The following is a 21,899-nucleotide window of genomic DNA, read 5'->3' on the forward strand; positions in this document are numbered from 1 at the left end:
TTTTTCCCCCCAGAAGGCTCTGAATTGAGAGTTCCCTCCTACTGCCCTGGGTGGCGGGGGAAGCTGTTTTATGGAGAAGGGAGTAAGGGTGACCGACGGTGATCTGAGTGGTCAGGGAGGGGACACTCCAGGCTGAGATGTTTGGTTGTCTGCTCTGCCTTCCTAGGGGTCCGCCTGAGTGCATAGCAAAACCCGCTTCACCTATGCACCTGCTGGGCCAGTCCCCGTGTGGAACCCCGTTAGCTCCATATGCCAATGAGCTCATTCGATTCTCTGTCAATGGTGGCATGAGGGCACTATTTACACCAGGGGAAACTGAGACTCAGAGGGTCTAAGCCACTTGCCTGCTGTCGCGCAGCCGGTAAATAGCAGATCCAGGCCTATGCGAGGCCCAACTAGTTCTTGAGCCCAAGCTCTTGAGCCTTTCATGGAACTGTCCTCCATCCAGCCTGGCTGGGCTTCCCAGGTGCTGTCCCAGGGCCTGACAGTCCCCAGGAGGGGTTGCCTCTATGCCAGCCTTGTGTGGGGCTGGTGGGTGCAGGCACTGGAGGGAGGTCATGCCTGCCCCTCTGAAGAAGGGCAGCAGGACTCACCTCCTTGGTCACAGTTCCTCTCCCTATCAGCCATGGGTGCCTGTGTGGTTTTCCATATGCTGACGCAGACCCCCAGGTCCACTTTCAGGAAGGGGAAGGCACGTACCCTTCACCCACCACTCCCTCCAGCTCAGGGGCCCAGCCCCCGCAGGAAAAACTCTAGGTAAACTCCTGCTTGTGTGTGTTGGGGAACCCTCCTGCCCTCGTGCAGGCTTCCCTTGGGAGTGGGCCTGGGTGGGGGACGCTGCCCTGGAGAAAGTCCAAGGGAAAAAGCACATGCTGGAGCCCCAGATTCTGAAAACAGGATGTGGGTTGGGGGCGCTGCTGGCCTCACCCTCCCGACCTCCCTCTGCCCCTGGCAAAGCTGCTACCGGCCCCCTGCCCCCAGCCACAGGGGCTCAGGGTCACATCTCATCTCCCTTGACTGTCCAGGAATGGTCCCCACCCCGTCCTGTCCCGTGGCTCCTGCTGGGTCAGGCCATTGGCGCCACCTGGAAAAAGCCCATCAGCCCTGCGGGAATGGAAAGCAGCTGAGGCGGTGGGCCAGGGTGGGGTGGGAAGTGGAGAGCCTACAGTCACCCTGTGCTGTCTGCAGCCTGTGATGCCACAGGGCCAGACCCAGAGACTCTACAATCTCAGGCCCGGTCCTCCTTCCCTGATAGCGCCATCCAGCCTGAGAGGAGGTGTTGCTGACGCTGCCTCCATCTGGCAGCCGGTGGCCCATTCTCGGCCATGCCTAAAGACTGGGGCCGGGGGCTGGGTGCAGTGGCTCACGCCTGTAATCCCAGCACTTTGGGAGGCCGAGGCAGGCGGATCACAAGGTCAGGAGATCGAGACCATCCTGGCTAACACGGTGAAACCCCGTCTCTACTAAAAAATACAAAAAATTAGCCAGGTGTCGTGGCGGGCGCCTGTAGTCCCAGCTACTTGGGAGGCTGAGGCAGGAGAATGGCGTGAACCTGGGAGGCGGAGCTTGCAGTGAGCCGAGATGGCACCACTGCACTCCAGCCTGGGCAACAGAGCAAGACTCCATCTCAAAAAAAAAAAAAAAAAATCTGGGGCTGGGCTGAGAGGCCAATCCTGCCTCGCTCCGGTCTCTGTTCCAGACACCTCTCCCTGGCCATCGGATTGTGGGGCCACTGCTCATGTAAGACACACATAGGTGCACGTATGTGTTTGTACCCAGTAACTATCAGCCATGGTCAACCCCACCATGTTCTTCAACATCGCCGCTGGCAGTGAGCCCTTGGGCTGTGTCGCCTTCGAGCTGTTTGCAGACAAGTTTCCAAAGACAGCAGAAAACTTTGGTGCTCTGAGCACTGGAGAGAAAGGGTTTGGTTATAAGAGTTCCTGCTTTCACAGAATTATTCCAGGGTATATGTGTCAGGGTGGTGGCTTCACACGCCATAATGGCACTGGTGGCAAGTCCATCTGCAGGGAGAAATCTGATGATGAGAACTTCTTCCTGAAGCATACAGTCCTGGCATCTTGTCCATGGCAAATGCTGGACCCAACACAAACCGTTCCCAGTTTTTTATCTGCATTGCCAAGACTGAGTGGTTGGATGGCAAGGGTGTGGTCTTTGGCAAGGTGAAAGAAGGCATGAATATTGCAGAGGCCAGGGAGCGCTTTGGGTCCAGGAATGGCAAGACCAGCAAGATCACCATTGCTGACTGTGGGCAACTCTAATGAGTTTGACTTGTGTTTTATCTTAACCACCAGCCCATTCCTTCTGTAGCTCAGGAGAGCACCCTCCACCCCATTTGCTCACAGTATCCTAGAATCTTTGTGCTCTCGATCAGTTCGCTTTGAGTTCCCTGTTTTCCTTGTTCCTTTCCATGCCTAGCTGGATTGCAGAATTAAGCTTATGATTATGAAATAAAAACTAACTAAATAAATAAAAATAAATTATTTGTAAGGCCTGGCATGGTGGCTCATGCCTGTAATCCCAGCACTTTGGGAGGCCGAGGCGGGTAGATCACCTGAGGTCAGGAGTTCGAGACCAGCCTGGCCAACATGGTGAAATCCCGTCTCTACTAAAAAATACAAAAATTAGCTGGGCATGGTGGCACATGCCCGTATTCCCAGCTAGTCAGGAGAATTGCTTGAACTCAGGAGGTGGAGGTTGCAGTGAGCCAAGATCGTGCCACTGCAGGCCAACCTGGGCAACAGAGGGAGACTCTATCTCAAAAAAAAAAAATTATTTGTAGAGATGAGGGTCTTGCCATGTTGCCCAGGCTGGCCTGGAACTCCTGGGCTCAATTGATCCGCCAGCCTTGGCCTCTCAAAGTGCTAGGATCACAAGTATGAGCCACCATAACTGGCCACTTATTTTTTATTGTTATTTATTTATTTATTCTATTTACTGACATCCTTGAGCCATCACACTGCTGTTTTGTCTCCTGTGCCCTGCTAACATTTTAAAAAGTCCTTACAGAAATGCTGTCTTTTCGTGAGGCTTTCCCCAGCTGCCCTAGCAGAAATTTACCCCTCTGTTTCCTGTCCCTTCTCAGCTTTATTTCCTTTGTATTGACTACTACATAACTATACACACACACACACACACACACACACACACACACACACACACACATAGAGAGAGACGGAGCCTCACTCTGTCACCCAAGCTGGAGTGCAATGGCACGATCTCAGTTCACTGCAACCTCCGCCTCCCAGGTTCAAGCAGTTCTGCCTCAGCCTCCCGAGTAGCTGGGATTACAGGCACCCACCACAACGCCCGGCTAATTTTTGTATTTTTAGTAGTGACGAGGTTTCACCATGTTGGCCAGGCTGGTCTGGAACTCCTGACCTGAAATAATCCACCCGCCTAGGCCTCACAAAGTGCTGGGATTATAGGGGTGAGCCACCGCACCTGGCCAATTTTATCTTTTTCTTATGTATCCTGCTTAGCGTCCATCTCTCCCAATAGCACAGGTGATCCACAGGGAAGGAATTTTTGGTGCTCTGCTTACTGTCCCATCCCCAGCACCTAGAATGGTTGGGGGCACACAGTGGATGCTCAGTAGATGTTTGTTGGGTGGATGAATGAATGAAGTGGGTGGAAGTTTCTGCCCTAAGGTGATAAGAACTCTGAGTGTCTCAGGTCTCAACTGCTGGCTCTGGTCTCCTCTAGGGCTGTGGGCATTTAAGTGGCCAATCCAGTCTCAGGTCAGCAATCAGAATTTCCCATCCTAGATAGAAACAAGAACTCAAAAATGGATTCATGGTAAACACCTGCCCCCAGCTCGGCTGGCCTTGGGTCCATGCCTGGGTGGGAGAGGGAAGGGGTGGAGGGCGGCAGAGTTGGCTCTTCTTGGTCCCTTCTAGTCCTTCTGCACCCTCCCCAACCTGGCTGCAGCTTCTGACCCTTCATATTCTTCCCAGCGCCCCGAAAACCTTCCAGACCAGATGACTTCTGCCACCCCAGGGTGGCCCCACCTCCTGGCTCTTGCCTTGGAGCTTGCCTTTGGCTCCCTATGGACCCCTGGGGCCCTGCATTTTCAACACCTGGGACGCGCCTTCGCATCTAGCCTTTGCTCCCTCCTTTGGCTCCATGATTATTTAAGATTAGGTTTGGGGCCGGGTGCGGTGGCTCACGCCTGTAATCCCAGCACTTTGGGAGGCTGAGGCGGGCGGATCACGAGGTCAGGAGGTTGAGACCATCCTGGCTAACACACGGTAAAACCCCGTCTCTACTAAAAATACAAAAAAATTAGCCAGGCGTGGTGGCGGGCACCTGTAGTCCCAGCTATTTGGGGGGCTGAGGCAGGAGAATGGCGTGAACCCGGGAGGCAGAGGTTGCAGTGAGCCAAGATCGCGCCACTGCACTCCAGCCTGGATGACAGAGCGAGACTCTGTCTTAAAAAAAAAAAAAAAAGATTAGGTTTGGATGGAACAACAATTCCAAACAGTGGCTTAAGCAAGAGAGAAGTTTGTTTCTCTCTCACATAAAAACTCTGCCCCAGCTGGGTGCGGTGGCTCATGCCTATAATCCTAGCACTTTGGGAGGCCTAGAGGGGCGGATCACCTGAGGTCAGGAGTTCAAGACCAGCCTGGCCAACACGGTGAAACCCCATCTCTACTAAAAAATACAAAAATTAGCCGGGCGTGGTGGTGCACGCCTGTAATCCCAGCTACTCAGGAGGCTAAAGCAGGAGAATCGCTTGAACCCTGGGGCGGAAGTTGCAGTGAGCTGCGACATTGCACTCTAGCCTGGGCAACAGAGCGAAACGCAGTCTTAAAAAAATAAAGGGCTGGGCGCGGTGGCTCACACCTGTAATCCTAGCACTTTGGGAGGCCGAGGTGGGCGGATCACCTGAGGTCAGGAGTTCGAGACCAACCTGGCCAACATAGTGAAACCAGGTCTTTACCAATAGCCGGGCGTGGTGGCACGGGCCTGTAATCCCAGCTACTCGGGAGGCTGAGGCAGGGGAATCGCTTGAACTCAGGAGGCGGAGGTTGCAGTGCACCCAGATTGGGACACTGCACTCCAGCCTGGGCGACAGAGAGAGACTCCATCTCAAAAGAAAAAAAAAAAAAGAAAAAAAAGCCTGCCCCATGGAGTCCTCAGGGGCGCGGGCACCTCGCTGCCCCCGCCACAGCCCCATGCTGTCTCCCTCTCGCTCTCTCTCTCTCTCTCTCCCCCTGTCTCAGAAAAGGGCCAGGAAGTGGCCACTTTACCGATTTGCTCACATGTCATTGGGTAGGATGAGCCCCACGACCACACCTATCCGCAAGGGATGCTGGGAAATGTAGTCTTTATTCTTGTGCCCAGGAGGGAGCAGGGAGACTCCCTCGCTGTCACAGATCTGCTTCTGGCATTGGTCCCCCACGCTGACATGGGTCGTTGGACTCACTGGGTTCCTCCCAAGTCTTTGCCCCCATTAGCTGCTCTGGAGGAAGAAGGAAGCCTCCACAGTCTTGTCTGTCACCTTGTCCCTAGGCCCTTCCAAACCACTGCACCTCTGGGCTTTCCTTCACACCCCTCTGCCAAGCCTCATCCCTTCTTTACCGTCCTTGGGCAGAAGGGTCATTTCCTCCGAGGGGAGCTCCTGCGTTTTCGCCCATTTTTAGGTTGCACATGTAGCAACCTTGCTCTGGAAAGACAATGAGTGTACCTGAAGGTGGCTGGGGCCTGCGGTAGCCTCTTCTTAGTGACCAAGGGGCTTGGGAATCCCTTTCTTCCTTTCCTTGAAAGCCCTTCTTTTTCCTGAGTGAACTGACAGGTGAGAGAAATTGCTTTGGGATTGGGGCTGGGGCAGGGGAAGGATTTGAGTCATCAAGAGGCATTTTTCAGAGTCCCTCCCCTGCACCCCCCCCACCACCCCTTTGCCATGCAGCTCTGAATGGCCTGTGTTTTTGTACATGTCAAGATGTGTAAGCAATCACTATCACTGCCTGTAGCCTGGGGTCCCGATCCTTTTTCCATCACCCCAGCCTCATGATCCTGGACTTGGTCTGGGATGGAGAGTACTCCGAGATCCCTGCCCTTCCAGAGTCTCTCAAGGGGGACTAAGCAGGTCAGTAGTGCAATCAGGTCAGCTCAAGATCAGTGGACCCACAGACCACTGAAGCTCCCTGCCTGAAAACAATTCTGGACCCAAAGGGCTGTGCTTGGCACAGGCCCTGGAAAGTTACTAGGGGCAGAAGACAAGGTCATCTATGGATGGAGCTTCCTTTCTTCCACCTAAAAACTGTCAAGCGCATCCATGTGAAGAGACCACCAACAGGGTTTGTGTGAGCAACAAGGCTGTTTATTCACTTGGGTGCAAGTGGGCTGAGTCCGAAAAGAGAGTCAATGAAGAGAGATGGGGAAGGGGTTGCTTTATAGGAGTTGGGTAGGTAATGGAAAATTACAGTAAAAGGTGGTTATCTATTGTTAGCAGAGGAGGGGGTCACAAGGTACATGGTGGGGAGATTATAAGACTCATTGTCCAGAAGAAGAATGTCACAAGGCCGATTGATCAGTTAAGGTAGGGCAGGGACAAGTCACAATGGTGGAATGTTGTAATGTTGGTTAATCAGTTAAGGCAGGAACTGGCTGTTTCACTTCTTTTGTGGTTTTTCAGCTGCCCCAGACTTCTTGGCTCCTGCAGGCCATCTGGACGTGTATGTGCAGGTCACAGGGGTTATAATGGCTGAGCTTCGGCTCAGAGGCCTGACAAAAACACATTTATGGGTATAATATCTTTTTACACTCATCATGATGTATTGGAGCTACCTTGAGCCCAATGAAGATATCGTCTGTAATGGTTAATACTGAGGGTCAACTTGATTGGATTGAAGGATACAATCCTGGGTGTGTCTGTAAGGGTGTTGCCAAAGGAGATTAACATTTGAGTCAGTGGGCTGGGAAAGGCAGACCCACCCTTAATCTGGGTGGGCACAATCTAATTAGCTGCCAGCACGGCTAGAATATAAGCAGGCAGAAAAATGTGAAAAGAGTGACTGGCCTAGCCTCCCAGCCTACATCTTTCTCCCATGCTGGATGCTTCCTGCCCCCCAACTCCAAATTCTTCAGTTTTGGAACTTGGACTGGCTCTCCTTGCTTCTCAGCCTGCAGATATGGCCTATTGTGAGAACTTGTGATCATGTGAGTAAATACTTAATAAACTTCCCTTTATATATATCTATTCCATTAGTTCTGTCCCTCTAGAGAACCGTGACTAATACATTGTCTTACCCAAGAGAACACAAATCTGACTCCTGAAAGTACCGAGCAAGTAAGAGGGAATGTACCATGATGCAACTGCTTTGAAAACCAGCTCCTCAGTTTCTTATGAAGTTAAACATACACTTAACATGTGACTCGACAATTCCACTCCTACGTATCTACCCAAGAGAAATGACAAGTTATGTCTAGAAAAGGATATGTACTCTAATGCTTATTACAGCTTTATTCATAATGAGCCCAAACTGGAAACAGCCCAGATGTCCATCAACAGGTGAATGGAGAAACAAGATGATACCATGGAAAAATATTCAGCAATAAAAAAAAAAGAAGGGCCGGGGCCCTTGGTCTTGATCTCCTGACCTCATGATCTGCCCGCCTCAGCCTCCCAAAGTGCTGGGATTACAGGCGTGAGCCACCGCGCCCGGCCAACATGGATGCATTTCTAAAACATGCTGAATGAAAGAAGCCAGACACAAAAGCATACGTACTGTGATTTCATGTATATGAAGTTCTAGAATAGGTGAATGTAATCTGTAATGCTGGAAATCAAATTAGGGTTTTTCTGGGGCTAGGGGTTGAAGAGGCACATAAGAACTTTTTGAGGTGATAGAAATGCTTTATATCTTGATTGTGATTGCGGTTGTTCAAGTGGATACATTTACCATTTACAGCCATACCACCCTGAACTTGGAAGCTAAGCAGGGTTGGGTCTGGTTAGCACTTGGAAGGGAGGAGTTCACCTTTATCAAAAAGTCATCAATCTTTACACTTGGAATGAATGCATTTTATGGCCGGGCGCGGTGGCTCATGCCTGTAACCCCAGCACTTTGGGAGGCTGAATTGGGCGAATCACCTGAGGTAAGGAGTTCAAGACCAGCCTGGCCAACATGGTGAAACCCCATCTCCATTAAAATACAAAAATTAGCCAGGTGTGGTGGCGGGTGCCTGTGGTCCGAGCTACTCGGGAGGCTGAAGCAGGAGAATTGCTTCAACCCAGGAGGCAGAGATTGCAGTGAGCTGAGATTGCATCACTTCACTCCAGCCTGGGTGACAGAGTGAGACTCCGTCTGAAAAAAAAAAAAGAATGGGTGCATTTTATGTATGTAAATTACAACTCACGGTTGATTAAAAAGAAAAAAGCAATGCATATCTGTGCTGAAAATCATTGAGGTGACAATGAAAACAGAGAGTAAGACTTTCTCTAAGTCATCATTACACATCTCTCTCTCACCTCTCCGGTGGACTTCTTTCCTTCTTCTCCCCCTCCTCCTCCTTTTTGTCCTCCTACACTCCACACTGGTCACCCTCTCCTCTTTTGTTGACTGTCTTTTCCCTATTCTTTATGAAATAGGGTAATCTGGCTTGCTCCTGATGATGCAGGACAGGCAAGCCCCAAAAGTGAGGCTTAGCCCAAGAGAGTTTTTGGCTTTGCCCAGGAAAGAATTTAAGGGTGAGCTGGTGGTGTTAGCAATTTTTATTGACGCATTGATGCACAGCAGCAGCAGAGGTGCTGCTCCATGCGGAGCGGGGCTACCCCATAGGCAATGTGCCCAGAGAAGCAGCTCAGAGGCAGGTCTGCAGTCACATGCATACCCACTTTTAGTTATATGCAAATTAAGGGGAGGTTTATGCAGAAATTTTTAGGAAAAGGATGGTAACTTCCCGGTGGTTAGGTTGTTGCCATGGAAAGGGGCGGTAACTCCCCTGGGTGTTGCCATGGCAATGGGAAACTGACAGGGCCCACTGGTGGGCACTGACGGAAAGCTGCTTCCACTCATCCCTGTTTTAGCTAGTCCTCAATTTTGTCCGGTGTCCCAGGCCTGCCCGCAGAGTCGAGTCCCGCCTCCTACCTCACTATCAGTTTGAATTTCTAATGTTTGAGTTACACATTTTCCCCCCCTTTTTGTGGAGAATAGGTTCTAGCTATATTGCCCAGGCAGGTCTGAACTCCTGGGCTCAAGATATCTGCCCGCCTCTGCCTCTCTAAGAACTGGGATTCCAGGCGTGAGCCACAGCGCCCCGTGAGTTTCTAATGTTTGAAAGGGATTTTGAGCTCAAAATCAGTATCCTTGGGTTTGAATTTATTTACAGTTGATCAAAACTTTAAATTTTAAAAAATCCAATTTTTTCCTTTTAAGCCTTCAGGTCCAATTTACACAGTTTGTTATTCTAGTTATACATTTAATAATTTGGGGCCGGGCACGGTGGCTTACACCTGTAATCCCAGTGAGAGGTGACAGTGTGCTGGCAGCCCTTGCTCGCTCTGGGTGCCTCCTCTGCCTGGGCTCCCACTTCGGTGGCACTTGAGGAGCCCTTCAGCCCACCGCTGCACTGTGGGAGCCCCTTTCTGGGCTGGCCAAGGTCGGAGCCGGCTCCCTCAGCTTGCAGGGAGGTGTGGAGGGAGAGGCGCAAGCAGGAACCGGGGCTGCACGCTCGGCCCTTGTGGGCCAGCTGGAGTTCCGGGTGGGCGTGGACTTGGCAGGCCTTGCACTCGCACTCAGAGCGGCCTGCCGGCCCTGCTGGCCCCGGGCAATGAGGGGCTTAGCATCCGGGCCAGCGGCTGCAGAGGGTGTGCTGGGTTCCCCAGCAGTGCCGGCCCACTGGCACTGTGCTCCATTTCTTGCTGGGCCTTAGCTGCCTCCCCACGGGGCAGGGCTCGGGACCTGCAGCCTGCCATGCCTGAGCCTCCCCTCCTGTGGGCTCCTGTGCGGCCCAAGCCTCCTCGACGAGCACTGCCTCCTGCTCCACGCACCCAGTCCCATCGACCACCCAAGGGCTGAGGAGTGCAGGCACACGGCACGGGACTGGCAGGCAGCTCCACCTGCAGCCCTGGTGCGGGATCCACTGGGTGAAGCCAGCTAGGCTCCTGAGTCTGGTGGGGACTTGGAGAACCTTTATGTCTAGGCTAGGGGATTGTAAATACACCAATTGGCACTCTGTATCTGGCTCAGGGTTTGTGAATGCACCAATCGACACTCTGTATCTAGCTACTCTGGTGGAGACTTGGAGAACCTTTATGTCTAGCTAAGGGATTGTAAATACACCAATCATCACTCTGTATCTAGCTCAAGGTTTGTAAACACACCAGTCAGCACCCTGTGTCTAGCTCAGGGTTTGTGAATGCACCAATTGACACTTTGTATCTAGCTACTCTGGTGGGGACTTGGAGAACCTTTGTGTGGACACTCTGTATCTAGCTAATCTAGTGGGGACATGGAGAACTTTTTTGTCTAGCTCAGGGATTGTAAACGCACCAATCAGCACCCTGTCAAAAACGGACCAATCAGCTCTCTGTAAAATGGACCAATCGGCTCTCTGTAAAATGGACCAATCGGCTCTCTGTAAAATGGACCAATCAGCAGGATATGGGTGGGGCCAGATAAGAGAATAAAAGCAGGCTGCTGGAGCCAACAGTGGCAACCCGCTGAGATCACCTTCCACATTGTGGAAGATTTGTTGTTGTACGGTTTTCAGGTTGTACAGATCTTACTGCTGTCTCTCTTTGGGTCCACATTGCCTTTATGAGCTGTAACACTCATCTGGAAGGTCTGCGTCTTCACTCTTGAAGCCAGTGAGGCCATGAACTCACCAGGAGGAATGAATAACTCCACACGCGCCCCCTTAAGAGCTGTAACACTCACCGCGAAGGTCCGCAGCTTCAGTCCTCAGCCAGCGAAACCACAAACCCACCAGAAGGAAGAAACTCCAAACACATCCAAACAGCAGAAGGCAGCAGAAGGAACGAACTCCGCACACACTGTTTTTAAGAACTGTGACACTCACCGCGAGGGTGCACAGCTTCATTCTTTAAGTCAGTGAGACCAAGAACCCACCAATTCCGCACCCACCAGCACTTTGGGAGGTCGAGGCCAGCGGATTGTCTGAGCTGAAGAGTTCGAGATCAATCTGGGTAATACGGTGAAACCCAATCTTTACTAAAATACAAAAAATTAGCGGGGAATGGCGGCCTGCGCCTGTAATCCCACTCCGGAGGCTGAGGCGGAAGAATTGTTTGAACCTGGGCGGTGGAGGTTGCAGTGAACTGAGATTGTGCCATTGCACTCCAACGTGGGCAACAGCAAGACTGTCTCTCAACAAAATAATAATAAGAATAATCACTTTCACGTATTATCTAATTTTTAATTACCTCACTTTTGAGAAGTCAAATTTGCCTAAGCATAAAACATCTAATTGATTACATTTCTAAACACTTCTAATGCCTGAGGGGGCAGACGTGCAACTCTAAAAAAACAATATCTTCCTATGCATTAAAACAACTTGTAAAGCAAATAAACCAAATTTACCAATGTGGTAATTCATGTGCTTTTTTTTTTTTTTTTTTTTTTTTTTTTTTTTTTTTTTTTGGGGTTGGAGTAGCCTTGCTCTGTCTCCCAGGCTGGAGTGCAGTGGCACGATCTCAGCTCACTGCAACCTCCACCACCCACGTTCAAGCGATTATCCTGCTTCATCCACCCCAGTAGCTGGGACTACAGGCTTGCGCCACCATGTCCGGATGTCCGGCTAATTTTTGTAGTTTCAGTAGAGACAGGATTTCACCGTATTGGTGAGGCTGGTCTCGAACTCCTGACCTCAAATGATCCTCCCACCTCGGCGTCCCAAACTGCTGGAATTACAGGCGTGAGCCACCGCACCCCGCCCTAATTCAGGTTCTTTTAAGTTTTACAAAAATGTTATAATGTTTACAAATTTAATCAAGTTCCTTAAGCCTTTCAATGTTAAATCATACCTAGAAAATTGTGCATTTAAATTGAAAAAAACAGCTGGGTTCCAAGATTTGAGGGAGAGTAAAAACCAAAACCAAAAGAAACAGCTGGGTGTAGGCGTGGTGGCAAGTGTCTGTAGTCCCAGCTACACAGGAGGCCTAGATGAGAGGATCATTTGAGCCCAGGTAGTAGAGGCTGCAGTGAGCCATAGCCGTGCCATTGCATTCCAGCCCGGGTGACAGAGCAAGACTCTTGTCTCTTAAAAAAAATTGAAATTACAAGGCAAATCTGAAAGATTCTCTAATGTGACAGGTTGAAAGAATGTTACGTTCTCTTAAACATTAGAGACATTTAAAATATGCAATACAGACACATTATCCTGATGACTTTTAACACTAAATTATAAATACTATGGGTTTGATTACCTTATCATTTCCATATTATTTCTTTACCCTCAGGGATGTAAAGTCATCTGTCCCACTCCGAACAGTTTGACCATGTCAGGTGGACAGAGGATTTCTACATTAAAAATAAATGAAGACTGAGATTTAGGGTTAGTGATTCAAGGCTGAGATTTGGGACCAGGTTGCTGCTTTTTTTTTTTTTTTGACAGAGTCTTGCTCTGTTGCCCAGGCTGGAGTGCAATGGTGTGATCTTGGTTCACTGCAACCTCCGCCTCTTGGGTTCAAGCGATTCTCCTGCCTCAGCCTCCTGAGTAACTGGGATTATAGGCGCGCGCCACCACGGGTGGCTAATTTTTTTTTTTATTAGAGATGGGGTTTCACCATATTGGCCAGGCTGGTCTTGGACTCCTGACCTCGTGATCCGCCCACCTCAGCCTCCTAAAGCACTGGGATTAGAGGCGTGAGCCACCGCACCAGGCCCAGGTTGCTTCTTTTCTTGTAGTTGAGCCTGTCTGTTTTATCAGCAGCAGTCCCCAAGTTCACCCCTTTCAGTGGGAATTTGTTTTATAACTCACTTTGTCTAATTGTTCGCTCATGATTAGGTTCAAGTTAAGTCTTTTTGGCAAGGATACTCCATGAGTGATGATGTACGCTTCCCATTGCATCACATCAGGAGCACATTATGGCATTTGGTCTCATTACTGGTGTGCCAAGTTTGATCACTTAGTTAATGTGGTGTCTGCCAGAGCGCTCCACCTTTTCACTTTGTAATTTATCAAAGATGGGTTTTTATGTTCTCATATTTAGTCTTTTCATAGACTCTTTTGTCTAACAGAGACAATTATAAAGCACATAATTTGAGTTTGCACTCCCTGGATTCTACAACCACACAGATGGTAAGGCAACCATTTTTCCATCCAGCTCAAACTCCTGTTTCATCCGGCAAGAAAAGATACATTACTGGTTTTCTTTCTTTCTTTTTCTTTCTTTCTTTTTTTTTTTTGAGATGGAGTCTCCCTCTGTTGCCTAGGCTCGAGTGCAGTGGCGCAATCTCAGCTCATTGCAACCTCCACCTCCCGGGTCCAAGCAATTCTTCTGCCTCAGCCTCCCAAGTAGCTGGGACTACAGGCATGTGCCACCACGCCCGGCTAATTTTTGTATTTTTAGTAGAGACGGGGTTTCACCATATTGGCCAGGCTGGTCTTGAGTTCCTGACCTCGTTATCCGCCCACCTCAGCCTCCCGAAGTGCTGGGATTACAGGTGTGAGCCACCGTGCCCGGCACATTGGTGGTTTTAGTATGTTTAGTAGAGACAGGGTTTCACCATCTTGGCCAGGCTGGTTTTGAACTTTTGACCTCAAGTGATCCGCCCCCCTTGGCCTTCCAAAGTGCTGGGATTACAGGCGTGAGCCACTGTGCCTGGCCAAAACTTCTTTTTCTTTATCTTTTTTTTGAGATGGAGTCTCGCTCTGCTGCCCAGGCTGGAGTGCAGTGGCGTAATCTCAGCTCACTGCAACTTCCGCCTCCCGGGTTCAATCGATTCTTCTGCCTCAGCCTCCCCAGTAGCTGGGATTATAGGTGTGCGCCACCATGCCCAGCTAACTTTTGTATTTTTCGTAGAGACGGGGTTTCACCATGTTGGTCAGGCTGGTCTGGAACTCCTGACTTCGTGATCCTCCCACCTCCGCCTTCCAAAGTGCTGGGATTATAGGCGTGAGCCACTGCTTCTGGCCAGAGTATCACTTAGCAGGAATATTGGCCATCATTTCCGAGTCTTTCTTTTTTTTTTCTTTCTTTGTTTTTGAGGAAGAGTCTCGCTCTATCGTCCAGGCTGGAGTGCAGTGGTACGATCTCACTCAGCTCACTGCAAGCTCCGCCTCCTGGCTTCACGCCATTCTCCTGCTTCAGCCTTCCGAGTAGCTGGGACTACAGGCGCCCGCCACCATGCCCGGCTAAGTTTTGTATTTTTAGTAGAGACGGGATTTCACCATGTTAGCCAGGATGGTCTTGATCTCCTGACCTCGTGATCTGTCTGCCTCTACCTCCCAAAGTGCTGGGATTATAGACTGAGCCACCACACCTGGCCAGCCTTCTTTCTTCACACTGTTATTTTTCAATTATTGAAGACATATCTACTGTGTCAGAAGGGAGTCTTATGCACTGTACAAGGTGTTACTACCAAAAGCTGCAACCCAAGTAAAGGACCTGCTAATCTGCCTCATGGCCACCGCTTCAGACCTTGGAAAGTGACACGAGGCTCAGCGTTATCACATAACTGCAGTGTGGACCAGCAACTGCTGAGCACAAGCAGTCTATTCACCCTCCTCAGTGTCATACCTTTCTGCTGTCTTCTGATTGAGTTCTCTGCCTACACTCTCCTCCAGGTGATAGTTGTAGCCTTTACAGCAAACCAGTGGACAAGAAGCATCAGGGTCTTTGGAAATTTTGCTGTGCATTGGACCAGTAAAAGTAATTCCAGATCTGAAGACAGCTTGACTTTGGCTTATTTTTACTGATTCCTATTTGTGTTTTTCAGAAAGAGCTACTTGATCACCAGCTCTAGAAGTATCAGGAGTTACAATTATCCAATCTTATGCAAATTGGCTGGTGGGCTGCAAAGCTTGTGTACTTTTTGCAGTGGGGGTTGTACAAACAGAAAAATAAAGAATACAAGGGTCGGGCCAGGCACGGTCTCTCATGCCTGTAATCCCAGCACTTTGGGAGGTCGAGGTGAGAGGATCACTTGAAACCAGGAGTTCGAGACCAGCATGGCCAGCTTGGTGAAACCCCGTCTGTACTAAAAATACAAAAATTAGCTGGGCATGGTGGCACACGCCTGTAGTCCCAGCTACTCGGGAGGCTGAGACAGGAGAATTGCTTGAACCTGGGAGGTGGAGGTTGCAGTGAGCTGAGATTGTGCCACTGCACTCCAGCCTGGGCGACAGAGTGAGACTGTCTCAAAACAAAAAACAAGGCTCTTCTGAAGACGCTTTAATGAAAATCATTATTTCTTAGTCACCCCAAGAGCATGAATTTGATGTGGTTGGGAACTCAAGCTAAATATTGTGAAGGTGTAACTCTGTGTTGACCTCTAGCCATGCAGCTCAGTTGTTTTGCAAACTGTCCTGATTTCCCACAGATGACTTGTCCTACTGAGGACACCTATCAGTAGGTCAGAGAGCAGCTTTGTGAGCCTTCCTGCTGGTACCCAGAAGTGAGTTTGTGCCCACTAATTTTTTAGCATTTTAATTCCTCGCAACAGAAGAGACTGGCAAAACTCAACAATTCTCTGTATTTATTTATGTATTTTTGAGACAAGGTCTTGCCCTATCACCCAGGCTGATGTGCAGTGGCACGATCATGGCTCATTGCAGCTTTGACCTCATGGGTTTAAGGGATTCTCCCACCTCAGCCTCCTGAGTAGCTGGGACCACAGGTGCAAGCCACCATGCCCTATTAACTTTTTTTTTTTTTTAAGACAGGGTTTTGCTGTCTGTCACCCAGGCTGGAGTACAGTGGTGCGATCTTGGCTCACTGCAACCTCCACCTCCTGGGTTCAAATGATTCTCCTGTCTCAGCTGACCGAGTAGCTGGTATTACAGGCATGTGCCACCACACCCAGCTAATTTTTGTATTTTTAGTGGAGATGGGGTTTAACCATGTTGGCCAGGCTGGTCTCGAACTCTTGACCTCAAGTGTTCCACCTGTCTTGGCCTCCCAAAATGTTGGGATTACAGGTGTGAACTACTGCACCCAGACAAGAAAACACATACTTATTTTTATAAACTATAGGAAAGCACAAAGAAAACAAAAATCATCGAAATCTCATTCTCCAGATAAAAGCAGCTGACATTTTGCTGCGACTTGCAAAATGCCTTTGGATTCAGATAACAGTGGTTCTGAAACTTTAGCGTGCATCAGAATTAACTGGAGGGCTTGTTAAAACAGTGCTTCTGAGTCAGAAGTTTTGGAGTGGAGCCGATAATTTGAATTTCTTTCTTTCTTTCTTTTTTTTTTTTTTTTGAGACAGTTTCCCTCTTGTTTCCCAGGCTGGAGTGCATTGGCACAATCTTGGCTCACTGCAACCTCCACCTCCTAGGTTCAAGCAATTCTTCTGCCTCAGCCTCTCGAGTAGCTGGGATTACAGATGCCCGCCACCATGCCCAGCTAATTTTTTGTATTTCTAGTAGAGACAGGGTTTCACTGTTGGCTACGCTGGTCTTGAACTCCTGACCTCAGGCAATCCACCCATGTCAGCCTCCTAAGGTGCTGGGATTACAGGCATGAGCCACCACATCCAGCTGATAATTTGAATTTCTAAGAAGCTCCCAGGTGTCCCTGACACTGTTGGTCCAGGTATCATACATTGAGAAGCACTGGATATGTGCACCTTGGCTGTTCCAAGTAGGGTCTGCAACCAGAGGCATTGACATCATTTTGGGAACTTGTAATGCAGAATCTCAGGCCCCAGCTCAGACCTACTGAATCATAATCTGTAATTTAATAAGATCCCTAAAAAATTTTTAAGCACCAGGCACGGTGGCTCACGCGTGTAATCCCAGCACTTTGGGAGGCCAAGCGGGTGGATCACGAGGTCAGGAGTTCAAGACCAGCCTGGCCAAGATGGTGAAACCCTGTCTCTACTAAAAATACAAAAATTAGCCGGGTGTGGCGGTGGGCACCTGTAATCCCAGCTACTCGGGAGGCTGAGGCAGAGAATTGCTTGAACCTGGGAGGCAGAGGTTGCAGTTAGCCGAGATCGTGCCACTGTATTCCAACCTAGGTGACAGAGTGAGACTCCATCTCAAAAAAAAAAAAAAAAAAAATTTTTTTAAGCACAGGTTTGAGAAGGATTGGTTTATATTTTAAGCCTCATAGTATATAACAGTTACTCCCCCCACCATATTGAGGTAGAATTTACACATAGTGCACCATTTTATAATGTATAATTTGATGAGTTTTGACAAAATGATACTAAATAGTTTTGTACCCTTTTGTCTCTCTACCCAACATAATGAGGACTTTCCTGTAGTATTAGATGTTTTGGAAAAACATGACTTCTAATGGCTGTACAATACATTGTAGGTAAGGATGTTCCAGTTTAACCAATTCTTCTTTTATTTATTTATTTATTTATTTTTGAGACAGAGTCTCTTGCTGTTGCCCAGTCTGGACTATAGTGGCGCAGTCTTGGCTCACTGCAACCTGCACTTCCTGGGTTCAAGCGAGTCTTGTGTCTCAGCCTCCCAAGTAGCTGAGACTACAGGTGTGCACCACCACACTCAGGTAATTTTTGTATTTTCAGTAGAGACAGGGTTTCGACATGTTGCCCAGGCTGGTCTCCTGAGCTCAGGCAATCTGCCTGCCTAGGCCTCCCAAAGTGCTGGGATTACAGGCGTGAGCCACTGTACCTGGCCCAGTTTAACCAATTCTTCTATTGTGAGACATCTATGTTGTTCCCAATTTCTCACCAGTGTAAATAATGCTTCAATGAATGCTTTTGGACTTAAATGTTTTCGTTTGGACTTTAACATATTTTTCCACAGCTAAATTACTGAGGAAAGGGTACGGGACAGGCAAGAACAGGTATCCATTACTCAAGAATGAAAAGTTAATGAATTAAATTTTTCTGTTTGGGTTTCAGGAAAAATGGCTAGAAATCATTAAAAAAAAAATCCATTGCAGCAGAAACAGTGGGATGCACTGTATCTTAAAAACAAAAAGGGCCAGGCTGGGCACAGTGGCTCACGCCTGTAATCCCAGCACTTTGGGAGGCTGAGATGGGTGGATCACCTGAGGTCAGGAACTCAAGACCAGCCCGGCCAAACTGGTAAAACTCTGCCTTTACTAAAAATACAAAAATTAGCTGGGTGTGGTGGCGTGCGCTTGTAATCCCAGGTACTCGGGAGGCTGAGGCAGGAGAATCGCTTGAACCTGGGAGGCGGAGGTTGCAGTGAGCCGAAGCTGTGCCATTCCACTCCAGCCTGGGCGACAGAACGAGACTCAATCTTAAAAAAAAAAAAAAAAGAAAAAAGCCGGGAGTGGTGGCAGGTGCCTGCAATCCTAGGTACTTGGGAGGCTGAGGCAGGAGAATTGCTTGAGCCCAGGAGGCGGAGGTTGCAGTGAGCTGAAATGGTGCCACTGCACTCCAGCCTGGGCAGCAGAGCAAGACTCTGTCTCATGGAAAAAATAAAATAAAAAAAAAAAGACTCAGTAAACTTACTGTTGAATCCTTTACCAATTAATGCAACTTTTGAGTCTTTTCTCAATAGCCATTCTTTTGTAATTCATAACTTATATGTATTTAAGGAATGTTTCATACACATAGGAAATAACCACATTCTATAAAGGGTCTAAATACATAAAACTATCACGTTTATTAGCAAATCTTTATATCCTTTAATGTGTCAGTAGCTTAAGAAATAATGAAGGCCGAAGGCCAGGCGCAGTGGCTCACGCCTGTAATCCCAGCACTTTGGGAGGCCGAGGCGGGTGGATCACGAGGTCAGGAGATCGAGACCATCATGGCTAACATGGTGAAACCCTGTCTCTACTAAAAATATAAAAAATTAGCCAGGCGTGGTGGCAGGCGGCTGTAGTCCCAGCTACTTGGGAGGCTGAGGCAGGAGAATCGCTTGAACCTGGGAGGCGGAGGTTGCAGTGAGCTGAGATTGTGCCACTGCACTCCAGCCTGGGCGGCAGAGTCAGATTCCATTTCAAAAAAAAAATAAATAAATAAAAGAAAAAAAAAAGAAATAATGAATAGGCCTGGCATGGTGGCTCACGCCTGTAATCGCAGCTCTTTGGGAGGTTGAGGCAGGTGGATCACTTGAGCCCAGGAGTTCCAGAACAGCCGGGGCAACATAGTGAGACCCTGCCTCTACAAAAAATACAAAAATTAGCCAGGTGTGGTGGTGTGTACCTGTGGTCCCAGCTATTTGGGAGGCTGAGGCAGGAGGATCGCTTGAGCCCAGGAGGCAGAGGTTGCAGTGGGCCGAGATTGAGCCACTGCACTCCAGCCTGGATGGTAGAGTGAAACCTTGTCTCAAAAAAAGAAAAAAAGAAAAAAAAGAGTCAAGGAAACATTATCCGCTTTCAGTTAGCAAGGTCTTTACTCATCAGGAAATGTAAAACTTCTACTTTCAAAAGAGAACTATTGGCCGGGCGCGGTGGCTCAGGCCTGTAATCCCAGCACTTTGGGACGCGGAGGCAGGCGGATTGCCTGAGCTCAGACCAGCCTGGGCAACATGGTGAAACCCCATCTCTACTAAAAATACAAAAAATTTAAGCTGGGCGTGGTGGCTCATGCCTGTAATCCCAGCACTTTGGGTGTCTGAAGTGGGACGATCACTTGAGGTCAGGAATTCGAGACCAGCCTGGACAACATGGTGAAACTCCATCTCTACTAAAAATACAAAAATTAACTGTAATTTTTGTATTCCCTGTGATCCCAGCCACTTGGGAGGCTGAGGCATGAGAATCACTTGAACCAGGCAGGCGGAGGTTATAGTGAGCCGAGATCGTGCCACTGCACTCCAGCCTGGGTGATAGAGCAAGACAAGACTTTATCCCCCAAAAAACAAAAAAACCCAGAAAATCCCACAAATAAAAACACAAAGAATTAGCCAGGCATGGCAGTAGGCGCCTGTAGTCCCAGCTACTTGGGAGGCTGAGGCATGAGAATTGCTTGACCTTGGGAGGCAGAAAGCAGAGAATTGCAGTGAGCTGAGATCGTACCACTGCACTCCAGCCTGGGTGCCAAAATGAGATTCTATCTCCAAAAAAAAAAAAAAGGAAAAATATTTGATTCTTTTACTTTCTAAAAAGAGTTTACATACTTTCCTCCCACTATTTATTTTGTAAACAACTGGCATATTTACCAGATGGGGATTTCATCTTTGATTTGTAATCTGCTTTTTTCCACTTGGCAATGTCGTGAACATCTATCTTTTCATGTCAATAAATGTCAATAAATAAACAGTATAGATGATCATTCATTTTTTTTTTTTTTTGAGACAGTCTTGCTCTGTTGCCCAGGCTGGAGTGCAGTGCCATCATGGCTCACTGCAGCCCCCTGGGCTCAAGCAATACTCCTGCCTCAGCCTTCCAAGTAGCTGGGACCACAGGCATGCACCACCATGTCCAGCTGATTTTTACCTTTTTTTTTGTAGAGATGGGGGTCTCACTACGTTGCCCAGGCTGGTCTCAAACTCCTGGGCTCAAGCAATCTTCCCACTTCAGCCTCCCAAAGTGCTGGGAATACATGTATGAACCACTGTGCCTGGTCTACCTGATCATTTTTTTTTTCTTGATGGAATTTCACTCATGTTACCCAGGATGGAGTGCAATAGCACGATCTTGGCTCACTGCAACCTCCACCTCCTGGGTTCAAGCGATTCTCCTGCCTCAGCCTCCTGAGTAGTTGGGATTACAGGTGCACGCCACCACACCTGGCTAATTTTTGTATTTTTAGTAGAGACGGGGTTTCACCATGTTGGTCAGGCTGGTCTCGAACTCCTGACCTCGTGGTCTGCTTGCCTTGGGCTCCCAAAGTGCTGGGATTACAGGCGTGAGCCACTGCGCCTGGCCTACATGATCATTCCTAATAGGCACCTGGTATTCCATATTTACCATTTTAACCTTTTGGACATTTAGGTTATTTTCCATTTTATTATTACAGCAACTTCAATAAGCATCTTTGCATGTGGCTTTGTTTTGATATAGTTGTACATTCACATAGTTTTAAGAAATGGATCAGGCCGGGCATGGTGGCTCACGCCTGTAATCCCAGCACTTTGGGAGGCTGAGGTGGGCGGATCACAAGGTCAGGAGTTTGAGACCAGCCGGGCCAACATGGTGAAACCCTGTCTCTACTAAAAATACAAAAATTAGCTGGGCGTGGTGGCATGCACCTATAATGCCAGCTACTCGGGAGGCTGAGGCAGGAGAATCGTTTGTACCCGGGAGGCAGAAGTTGCAATGAGTCAAGATGGCCCCAGTGCACTCCAGCCTGGGCGACAGAGCAAGACTCTGTCCCAGAAAAAAAAAAAAAGAAATGGATCAGAAACAAGGACTCTTTCTGAAAGGAAAAAAAAAAGAATGGAGATCCATCGTATACTTTGCCCATTTCCCAATTTTGCAAAATTATATAGTAACCAGAATACTTACATTGAAGCAACCCATTGATCTTACTCAGATTTACTTATACTCATATTTGTGTGTGTTTACATAGTTTTTTGCATGTCTGATTCTTCTGTCAAACGAAATTCCTTTTTTTTTTTTTTTTTGAGACAGGGACTTGCTCAGGCTGGAATGCAGTGGCACAATCTCTGGTCACTGTAACCTCTGCTTCCTGGGCTCAAGCAATCTTCCCTCCTTGGCCTCCCAAACTGCTGGGATTACAGGTGTGAGCCACCATGCCTGGCCCAGATTTCTTTGAAAGGGCTAATTCCTCCATATCTTTGTCAACACTACTTTTGGGTTTTGTTCAGTTTATCCCTCTGTA

The 21,899-nt window shown here is 48.6% G+C and overlaps 3 pseudogenes; 2 read left to right on the forward strand and 1 right to left on the reverse strand.

The window, feature by feature from the left end:
• On the forward strand, positions 1,782-2,486 carry PPIAP54 (peptidylprolyl isomerase A pseudogene 54; annotated as a pseudogene).
• RNA5SP441 (RNA, 5S ribosomal pseudogene 441) lies at positions 7,930-8,017 on the forward strand (annotated as a pseudogene).
• On the reverse strand, positions 14,507-15,679 carry LOC100421674 (kelch repeat and BTB domain containing 2 pseudogene; annotated as a pseudogene).

Source organism: Homo sapiens, chromosome 17, assembly GCF_000001405.40.
Source record: "Homo sapiens chromosome 17, GRCh38.p14 Primary Assembly".
Classification (NCBI taxonomy): Eukaryota; Metazoa; Chordata; class Mammalia; order Primates; family Hominidae; genus Homo; species Homo sapiens.